Source organism: Homo sapiens, chromosome 6 (genome assembly GCF_000001405.40).
Source record: "Homo sapiens chromosome 6, GRCh38.p14 Primary Assembly".
Lineage (NCBI taxonomy): Eukaryota > Metazoa > Chordata > Mammalia > Primates > Hominidae > Homo > Homo sapiens.
This window is the reverse complement of record NC_000006.12, coordinates 43,372,666-43,384,069: the sequence shown is the minus strand read 5'-3', so window position 1 is coordinate 43,384,069 and position 11,404 is coordinate 43,372,666. Positions and strand designations below refer to the sequence as shown.

The 11,404-nt window shown below is 43.3% G+C and overlaps 2 annotated features.

Annotated features, from left to right (window-relative positions):
• Window positions 392-571: an enhancer, noted in NCBI's record as "active region_24599". NCBI's record gives its function as "activates an Ori minimal core promoter by ATAC-STARR-seq in GM12878 lymphoblastoid cells {active_cell/tissue: GM12878}" and the evidence as "EXISTENCE:reporter gene assay evidence [ECO:0000049][PMID:35858748]".
• Window positions 7,170-7,389: an enhancer, noted in NCBI's record as "active region_24598". NCBI's record gives its function as "activates an Ori minimal core promoter by ATAC-STARR-seq in GM12878 lymphoblastoid cells {active_cell/tissue: GM12878}" and the evidence as "EXISTENCE:reporter gene assay evidence [ECO:0000049][PMID:35858748]".

Genomic DNA, 11,404 nt, shown 5'->3' with positions numbered 1-11,404 from the left:
GTTATTACCAGGGATCACGTGTGGCTTACACAATATTTGTAAGGGGTAGGGGAAGAAGCTTTAGGTGGAGCTTGTAAGAGCACTCCCCACACCCAGAATCTCACTGATTCTGCTATGCTTGGGTAAGCTATGGCTTCCACTGCAGGAAACCAGCAAATCAGCACGTCGGTAACCACAGAACCACACTTCCTCTGTCATGATTCACAGCAGCAAAGTGAATACTTCATATCCTGCCTCTTTCTCCACATCACTCAGTTAACTGGGTTTCACATTCAAGTCTCATGGGAATATACCTGATTGGCAAAAATCTCAATTACACCTGAAACCATAACTGTAATAGGATCTGAGAAATACAGCTTTTATCTTTCTAGACTCTCAGTATAGAAAGGTACGAAGGAGTTTAGAATGTATGTTGAGAAAACCAGTCTAAGGAGTTTAGAACGTATGTTGAGAAAACCAATCTACTATAATGAGAACATTTGTGCCTCGTGAGTAGAAGAGGGTTATCAACAATCAGGTAGAGAAGATGAACTGCTCTATGGATGGTATCCACCCTTTCCCCTAGTTACACCAGAGTGTGCTGTATGAGCTTGTGAACAAAGTGACCATGGGACCACTGATGGAGGCAATGCATGTTGAGTGTAAAGGCTCAATCACGTGGACGTTCTCACACTAAGATTGACCTGCTACTGCCAGTTTGGACCTCTTCCTTCATGGACAGGGCAGTAATTTATCTTCATTGTAGAAGAAACTTACTTTAAATTTCTATATATTTTTCCTACTCACTGTATTTTTGCCAGCACCATCCAGAAACTTACTGAATGACTCATAAGGCATTCAACATGACATCCCACACAATGATGCTTTTGGCCAAGGGAGTACTTTTACGGTGGAAGAAGTAAGACAGCTGGGATACACAATTCAACTCTTCTGGGATTCCTTATTTAGTTTTATTGTATATTCCAGCTAGTCTTATAGAATAGGCTTACTGAGGTCTTAGTTTTTATTTTGCCAACTGGAGACAACATCTCATAAGATCATAGCGGTATCAGCCGGGTACGGTGGCTCACGCCTGTAATCCCAGCACTTTGGGAGGCCAAGGCGGGTGGATCACTTGAGGTCAGGAGTTCGAGACCAGCCTGACCAACATGGTGAAACCCCATCTCTACTAAAAACACAAAATTAGCCAAGCGTGTTTGGCACATGCCCGTAATCCCAGCCACTCGGGAGGCTGAGGCAGAAGAATAGCTTGAACCCAGGAGCTGGAGGTTGCAGTGAGCCGCAATCGCACCATTGTACTCCAGCCTGGGTGACAAGAGCAAAACTCTGTCTCAAAGAAAGAAAGAAAAAAAAAGATTAGAGTGGTATCCTACAGAATGTGACATAAGCTCTGAAATAGTGACCAACGATGTGGAGCATTTCTCTCATAACCAAAAATATACAAGGGTGGGGATGAGATATATAGGTGAGGTGGTACCTATTACAGTTACACTTGTGGCTGGGCGTGGTAGCTCACACCTGTAACCCCGGCACTTTGGGAGGCTGAGGCAAGGGAATCTCTTGGGCCCAGGAGTTCAAGACCAGCCTGGGGAACATGGCAAAATCCAGTCCCAACAAAAAGTACAAAAAATTAGCAGGGTGTGGTGGCATATACCTATAGTCTCAGCTACTTGGGAGGCTGAGGGGTGGGAGGATTGCTTGAGCCCAGGAGGTTGAGGCTGCAGTGAGCCATGATCATGCCAGCCCGGCCAACAGAGTGGGACAGTTTCTCAAAAAAAAAAAAAAATACACTTGTATCCTTAACAAATTACTACAAACTTGGAAAGTAAAAAACAACACATATTTATTATCTTACAGCTCTGGAGTGCAGAAATCCAAAATGGGTCTCACTGGGCTAAAATTAAGGTGTGGACAGGGCTGTGTTACTTTTGGAGGCCCTAGGTGACAAATCTTGCCTGTTCCCTTGGCTTTTTTAACTTCTGGAGGTTACCCACATTTCTTGGCTCATGGCCCCCCTTTCAAAGCCAGCAATGGCTGGTCGAATCTTTCCCATGATGGAGTGCTCTAATACTGACTCTCCTGCCTCCCTCTTGCTTTTAGAAGGTAACCACTGGTGATTACATTGGGCCCACTTAGATAATAGAGGATCATTTTCCCATCTTCAGGCCAGCTAATTAGCAACCTTAATTCCATCTGCAACCTTAATTCCCTCTTATCATGTAACATATTCATAGGTTTTGAGGATTAAGATGTGGATATCTTTGGGAACTATTATTCTCCCCACTACATCAACTCTGAGCTCTGCTGGTGAGAAATATTCCACCAGTAGGAACAACAGTTTAGGGTGAGATGGCCACTGGCCACTTTGGGTTCCTCACTGCAGTAGATCAACGGGGAAAAAAGAAGTTATGGTAAGTTATGGTATTGAGTCATTAATCCTGATTTTTGTGAAGAAATAAGATTGTAGTTACACACTGGGGTCAAGAGGCATATTGATGGTACAGAGGGGATCCCCTGGGGTGCATCCTCATGAAACCATGATCAGAACTAAAAGTTAATGAAAGACATCTTTAACCCCTTGAACAGGCAGGACCACCAAAAGCTTGGATCTCTCAGAAATGAGATTTGGGTCATATACTGACCAGCTGAGGTTCTGCCTAAAGGCAAAGAGACCACAGAACTAGTAGAGAGGACAGAAGTCATAAATACCCACAGCCTTCTGATTAGTTGTGGAAATGAGAATGGTAGCCTCTTTCCATATTTCTTTCCTTGATTTTTCCTAAATATATTCATATATCTTAACTGATTTCTCTTTTTTCTCTCTCTCTCTTTTTTTTTTTAGTAAATGATGTGTTGGCCGGGCACGGTGGCTCATGCCTGTAATCCCAGAACTTTGGGAGGCCGAGGCGGGCAGATCACTTGAGGTCAGGCGCTCGAGACCAGCCCAGCCAACATGGTGAAACCCCGTTTCTACTAAAAAAAAAAAATACAAAAATTAGCCAAGCGTGGTGGTGCGTGCCTGTGGTCCCAGCCACTCATGAGGCTGAGGCATAAGAATTGCTTCCACCTGGGAGGTAGAGGTTGCAGTGAGCTGAGATTGAGCCACTACACTCCAGCCTGGGTGACAGAGCAAAATTCCATCTCAAAAAAAAAAAAAAAAATATGTGTTGGTGATTGATAACATTACAAGCTAATCTACAAAGATATCAAGACAAGACTGGGCAGAACTAGGAATAGGCATCAACAAGACTCCCTGGGCTTGGAACTGGATGTAGTGACTGCTAAAATCTGAGGCTATTTTGAGGGAGGCAGTAAGTGATTTTCATTTGTATAAGGGATGTCCAAAGCGTGCTGGACAGGAAAATTTTTTTTTGGAAGAGTTAAGTATGGGAAGAAGGATATATGTGGATAACAGGCAGTAGGAGGGATTTTCTGAGCCTTGTTCTTTATAGATTTCCCATCAATACTGTGAACTGCACAGTTTAATTTCAACCACTTTATTTTCTGCTTTTGTTAGCAAGAATTCATTTTTCTTTCTTGCAGCTGGAAACCCTGACTGATACAGGGTCCCAGCCCGTCTTACCCTTTCCTCTCTCTCTTAGCACCTGTCATTTTCTTCTTCCTAAAACACAGAAAGGGTAGATCACTTTATTCTGTCATCCTATGCAAAAATCTCCAATGACAGGGTAAAATCTGGACACCTTACTCTGAAATCCATGTTTCTTACCAGATTAATGCCAAGTTACCTTTCCAAATGCATCTTTGCCTATTCCCTTCTAAAAACCAGCATTCAAGCCAAATTGGCTCCTTACTGCCTTGAGAATCACCAAGAACATCAAAATGTAACTTTTACACAAAGGAGGGTAGCCTTTTTTGGCCACCCAGTCCTCAAAGAAGTCTCCATATACAGAACTCCTGTCTATGACATTGTACAGAGGGATGCAATGCCTCATGATATGCTTTTGTTTTTATTGGTATCTTGAAAGCTACGTTTAAAAAAACCTGTGAGTTTCTCAAAGATAAGGACCATGTTTTATTCATCTTTATGGACTAGAACCTAACAGAGTGCCTGACAGCTACAATTATTAGGGTTTTAAACAATTCAGATACATTTCAGTGCCTTTTTTTCTTTTGGCGAGTGATAGTACTGATATAGTACTAAACATGAAATCTGTTCTTCCACCAAGGGAGGGAAGGGGCAGTCATCTGCTTCATGGGCTAGATGAAGAGACTGAAGAATCCAACTGCTCCTCGTACCAACTTTCAACCCAATTCTACATTTCAGCACCACACCCAAACCCACCTTCAAAAGTCTCTGGGGTGTCTAAGAGGGTCAGAGTTCTGTGTATGAACCATTTTGGTTCCTTCTGGGTTACCCACCTGCATGCCTAAGTTTCAGCTTTTTCTGCTTTGTTGTTAGTTACCTAACACCATCTGTTTTCTGGCTTCCAAAATGTTGTCATCATCCCATTTACATTCTCTTCTCATCTTTTCTCCCATTCCTTTATTTATTTATTTTTATTTTTTAGAGACAGAGTTTTGCTCTGTTGGCCAAGCTGAAGTGCAGTGGCACAATCATAGCTAACTGCAGCCTCAAATTCCTGGGCTCAAGCAATCCTCCCCAGTAGCTGGGACTGCAGGACTGAGCAACTATGACTGGCTAATTTTTTTTATTTTTACTTTTGTAGACACAGGGTTTCACTATGTTGCCCAGGCCTCTGGCCTCTAGCAATCCTTTTGCCTTGGCCTCTCATAGCCCTAGGATTATAGGTGTGAGTTACCACACCTGGCCCAAACACCTTAATTCTAAGTAAAGTTATACTCTAGGCCTAAGTTTATTTCAAAGCAAGAGAAACTAATCACTCATAATTTTAGAACCTCCCCAAAGTAATTAATTTGATTTACACACATACAAGCCACCACACCTGGCTAATTTTTGCATTTTTTGTAGAGATGGAGTCTTGCTATGTTGCCCAGACTGGTCTCAAACTCCTGGACTCAAGTGATCCTCACATCTTGGCCTCCCAAAGTGCTGGAATTATAGGCGTGACCCACTTTGCCCATTATCTACAAACAATGGACCACAATTCTAGACGAGAACTCTTGAGTGAGTTGAGCATCACATCTGTCTTTCTGGAGGGCTCACTGTCCCTCTTCTGGCCAAATGTTTCCTACATGAAGCTGGAGTTTGTTTGGATAGGTACCAGCAATCACATCATCTGAGCCAGTTACACCTCATTAATCTTGGACTTAAAGGATAACCAGCCTGGGCCAGGCTCGGTGGCCCACACCTGCAATCCTAGCACTTTGTGAAGCTGAAGCAGGCAGATAGCTGGAGCCCAGGAGTTTGACACCAGCCTGGGCAATATAGGGATACCCTGTCTGTACAAAAAAAATTTTAAATTAGCCAGGCATGGTGGCATATGCCTGTAGTCCCAGCTACTTGGGAGTCTGAGGGTGGGAGGATTGCTTGAACCCAGGAGGTAGAGGCTGCAGTGAGCTGAGATCGCACTACTGCACTCCAGCCTGGGCAACAGAGTGAGATCCTGTCTCAAAAATAGATAAATAAAAATTTAAAAATAACCAGCCTGGACCACAAGGCAAAACTCTGTCTCTACAAAAAATAAAAAAATTAGCTGGGTGTGGTGATGCATGCCTGTAGTCCCAGCTACTCAGGAAGCTGAGGTGGGAGGATTGCTTGAGTCCAGGAGTTCAAGGCTGCAGTGAGCTACAACCTATTAAAACAAAAAAAATTCCAACAGGGCTAAACAGTTTGGTCAAGTATAGTGTGCACACAGGCATGCACGCAGATTAATGTTTATAATGTTTAATATGCTGGACGTGGTCAACCTCTGCATACCTCTTCAGCTTCATTTCTCACTATTCTCCTTTCTTTCTGCCCTCTGGTCACACTGGCCTTCTGTCTGGTCAATCAGATCACCAGGGTTTCTCCTGCCACAGGGCTTTGTGTACAGCTCAGCTTTCTAAACCTTACACCAGTAATGTTTACAGGTATGTCAAGAAGTGATTCCTGTCTACCCTGGGATGAGAACAGGTGGGGACTGGGTAAGTGGCTGGTGTAAACAGAGGACAAGGACAGTGAAAAGGGTAACTGTTAGGAAGTACTAGATTAGGTGTCCCTCTGCCTACCAGGCTTTATGCTCTACTACCTCCTACTTATTTTCAGATCTCAGCTCAAATACCGCTTCTCAGGGAAGTCCTGCCTAATCTCTCTGACCATGGCAGATCTTAATACATGTCTCAGATCACCCAGGACCTTTCCTTCAAAACCTTGAACATTTCCATAATATTGCTGTTAGATTTATTTTTATTTCATTTTATTTATTTTTATTTTGTTATTTTTTTTTTTGAGACAGGGTCTCACTCTTGCCCAGGCTGTAGTGTAGTGGTGCTATCATAGCTTGCTGCAGCCTTGAACTCCTGGGCTCAAGTGATCCTCCTGCCTCAGCCTCCCAAGTAGCTATGACTACAGGCATGCACCACCACACCTGGCTATTTTGTTGTTGTTGTTGTTTAGTACAGATGGAGTTTTGTTATATTGCCCAGGCTGGTCTCGAACTCCTGAGCTGAAGCGATCCCCCTACTTCGGCCTCCCAAAGTGTTGGGATTAAAGGCATGAGCCATTGTGCCTGGCCAGTATTTATTTGTTTTTTAATAAGCTGGTAAGATGTACATTCGTGTTTTGTGTGATTACGGTATTATGATTATAATACCATATTATTATAGTAATATAATACTATATATTAGTATATAGTATGTACTAGTTATAAAATAGAAACCATGGTGATCTGGGGGACCAGACAAAAAGCATTTGGATGTGAAACATCCACATATGAATTAACTGCCTGCATTCAGGGTTTCTCCAAATTCAAGGTTAAAAAGGGTTATTAGTGCCTCATAGAATAAAGGTAGGGGCTATACCAAAAGCAATTTTTATTCTCTAGGGTTGTGTATTAGCTATCTGCATAGCAAATTACTCCCAGGTTGGCAGCCTAAAACAAGCACTTTTATCTCACAGTTTCTGAGGATGAGGACTATGGAAGTGATTTGCTAGATGGTCCTGGCTCAGGGTCTCTCAAGAAGATGCACTCAAGATATTGGCTTGGGCCGCAGTCATCTGAAGGCTTGATATACTTGAGTATCTGCTTGTGAGATGACTCACCCACATGGCTGTTGCCTGGAGGCCTCAATTCCTTGCTTCTGTTGTCAGGAGACCTCAGTTTCTCACTACATGGGGTTTTCCATAGGGTTGCTCAACATGGCAGGTGTTTTCCCCCAAAATCATATGATCCCAGAGAGAGAAAGTGTGCTCAAAATGGAAGCCACAATGGCTTTAATAACCTAATCTTGGACATGATACATATCACCTCTGTCATATTCTATTGGTCACACAGACCAACCTTTGTACAATATGGGAGGAGCCCATACCAGGGAGTGAATACCAAGAGACAGGGATCATTAGGGGCCATTTTGGTGGCTGACTAGCATATCTGAGAAACAAATTGCTTGTTAGCACACAGATAGTGCTATTCAAGCTTCACATTTCTTAGGATACAGGTTTGTCTTCTGTCTCTAGCTCTTTTAATTGTGAAAAATTACATGTATACATAAAAGTATATAAAAATAAATGTACAGAATGGGTGTGGTGGCTCACGCCTGCAATCCTAGCACTTTGGGAGGCCGAGGTGGGCGGATGACCTGAGGTCAGGAGTTCAAGACCAGCCTGGCCAACATGGTGAAACCCTGTCTCTACTAAAACTACAAAAATTAGCCAGGTGTGGTGGCACATGCCTGTAATCCCAGCTACTCAGGAGGGTGAGGCAGGAGAAGCACTTGAACCCAGGAGGCAGAGGCTGCAGTGAGCCGAGATCGTACCATTGCACTCCAGCCTGAGCTACAGAGCAAGACTCCATCTCTAAATAAATAAATAAATAAATAAATAAATAAATAAATAAATGTACAGCTAACTGAATTATTAAAAAGCTAGTATCTGTGGAAAAACAACCACCCAGATTAATATATGGAACGAGCTCAATACCCCAGAAGCTCCTCCCATTGTTCTGTCTAATTACAATGCCCTCTCTTCCATCCTCAGGGTGACCACCATGCTGATTTTTATGGTTTTTAGCTTCATTTTCTTTATAGTGGTTTACCACTAAGAATGCACTCCTATCCACTGTAGTTTAGTTTTGACAATTTAGCCGGGTATGGTGGTAATCCCAGCACTTTGGGAGGCTGAGGCAGGAGGACTGCTTGAGGCCAGGAGTTCAACACCAGTCTAGGCAACATAGTTAACCCTGTCTTGAAAAAAAAAAAGAAAAAAGAAAAAAAATTATCCGAGTACGATAACACATGCCTGTAGTCCTACCTACTTGGAGGTTGAGGCAGGAGGATCCCTTGAGTCAAAGAGTTTGGGACTGCAGTGAACCATGATTGGGACACATCACTCTAGACTGGGTGACAGAGAGAGACCCTGTCTCAAAACAAAACCAAAACAAAACAAAAAAGCTATATAAATGGAATTATGCAATGTATTGTTTTGCATCTATTTTCTTTAACTCAACATTATGTTTTTCAGATTCATTTATGTTGTTGAGTGAAGCAGTCTGTTAATTTTCAATGCTGAATAGTATGCCATTGTATAAACATCCCCAAATTTATTCATTTTACTGTTGTAGAATATGTGGACTTTTTTTAGTATTTGGCAATTACAGAGAAAGCTGCTGTGAACGTTCTTGTACGTAACTGCTGGTATACCTTGTATGCATTTCTGTAGGATATATACTTAGGAACAAAATTGTGTAGTCATTTTCAACTTTAGTAGAAATGCCAACCTGTTTTCCAGAGTGGTGGCACTGATTTACACAGTGTAGAAGAATGTCCCTTGTTCTACACCCTCACCAATATCTGCAATGTTAACTATGTTGGTGTGAAGTGCTATTTTGTTATGGTTTTAATTTACATTTTCACGATTGAGGTTTCATATATTTAGTAATCATTTGAATATCCTCTTTTGAGCACTTTTTTTTTTTTTTTTTTTTGAGATGGAATCTTGTTCTGTCACTGAGGCTGGAGTGCAGTGGCACGATCTCGGCTCACTGCAATCTCCACCTCCCGGGTTCAAGTGATTCTCCTGCCTTAGCCTCCTAAGTAGCTGGGATTACAGGCACCCACCACCACCCCTGGCCAATTTTTTGGTATTTTTTAGTAGAGATGGGGTTTCACCATGTTGGTCAGGCTGGTCTCGAACTCCTGACCTCAAGTGATCCACCTGTCTCAGCCTCTCATAGTGCTGGGATTACAGACGTGAGCCACTGCGCCTGGCCAGAGCTTTTTTTTTTTTGTTTTTTGAGACAGAGGTTATGGATGTAATAGTGATACATGCATGATTGAATCCACCATGTTTAACAGAAAATCATATTTTCTCTCTTCTTCCTTTTCCAGAGACAGGGTCTTGCTTTGTTGTCCAGGCTAACCTCGGGCTCCTGGGCTCAGGTGAAAACTCCTGCCTTAGTCTCCTGAGTAGCTGGGATTATAGGTACCTGCCACTGTGTCCAGCAGAAAAATCATATTTTCTTTTCTTTTTTTGAGGTGGAGTCTCACTGTGTCACCCAGGCTGGAATGCAGTGGCAAGATCTCGACTCACTGCAACCTCCGCCTCCCAGATTCAAGCGATTCTCCTGCCTCAGCCTCCTGAGTAGCTGGGACTACAAGCGTGCTAAGGTAGCCAGACTACCATGCCCAGCTAATTTTTGTATTTTTAGTAGAGACAGAGTTTCACTATGTTGGCCAGGCTAGTCTTGAACTCCTGACCTCAAGTGATCCGCCTGCCTCGGCCTCCCACAGTGTTGGGATTACAGGTGTGAACCACTGCGCCTGGCCAGACTCATATTTTCTTTCTTTCCTTTTTTTTTTGAGATAGAGTCTCCTTTGTCACCCAGGCTGGAGTGTAGTGGTGTGATCTCGGCTCACTGAAAACTCTGCCTCCCGGGTTCAAGCTATTCTCCTGCCTTAGCCTCCTGAGTAGCTGGGATTACAGGCACCCGCCACCATGCCTGGCTAATTTTTTTATTTTTAGTAGAGATGGGGTTTCGCCATGTTGACCAGGCTGGTCTCGAACTCCCGACCTCAGGTGATCTGCCTGCCTCAGCCTCCCAGAGTGCTGGCATTAACAGGCATGAGCCACCACAGCTGGCCTCAGAATCGTATTTTCTAATTAGTTATTACTGGTGTATAGGTAATATTGGTAATATTAGGATATTACCATTCCAGTCACTGAGCAGGGAGTGTCTAGGCTCAGTTCTTGTTTAAAGGCTGTCAATATTTTTATCTTCCCACCCACATGGCACATTCCCATGAAACTTAGCCCCAAGCAGAAGGCTGGCAGTAATTTGTTCAGCTCGCATGTAGGGACAGGCATGTCCTTGGCTTTAAGCTAAAAATCTGTCCCAGGTCCTCCACCTCCTGAGGAGCACTTACATTTCCATTATCTCACAGGAGCCAAATCTCTAACTGCTACCCTTGATTCTAGACTCATTTCAAAGCCCATGAGGTCCATGGGGAGGTGGTTATCTCGTTTCAGAGTGTATTAGCTGTTTTGAGCTGCTGTAACAAAATACCGTAAGGCTGGGTGGCTTCAACAACACGTGCTTATTTCTTACAGTTCTAGAGGCTGGAATGTCCAAGACCAAGGTGCTAGCCAATTTAGTTCCTGGTGAGTGCTCTCTTCCTGGTTTGTAGACACTGCCTTCTCACTGTGTGCTTGCATAGCAGAGAGAGGGCATGGGTGTCTCTTCCTCTCTTTATAAAGACACTATCATCATGGGGGCCCTACCCTCATGACCTCATCTGACCCTAATTACCTCCCAAAGGACTCTTCTCCAAATAGCATCACATTGGGGGTTAGGGCTTTAACAAATGAATTTGGAGTAGTGGTGGGGGAAACACAATTCAGTCCATAGCATACATCCTAGTCTCCTTACTTTTCTCTTTTAAGGTTTTATATGTCATTGCGGTATGTCTACTATGGGGTGGTATGTGTGTATGTGTGAAAGCCTTTACACATTTCACCATCTTCATCAGAAGTCTCATAAAAATTTCTTGAATTGATGACAGACAACAGGGACGGTACGTTAACTGGGTTCTTCCTATTGTCTCTGGAGTTTCAGCAAAGGCCTCAAAAATAGAAGGCAATACAACAGATGCCAGGTACTCCCATTCCCCCATCTTAAAGGGTGATGATAGAATATGAACTAGTCTGCCAGCATTACTAATCATCCACCCTCAGTCTATATAAGAGAATGAAGATTGTGTCGGACAGTTACCTGTGGGCTCTGTATTTCCTCTCCTGCCACTCTGGGGCGGGAGAGGGGAGCCAAGTGAG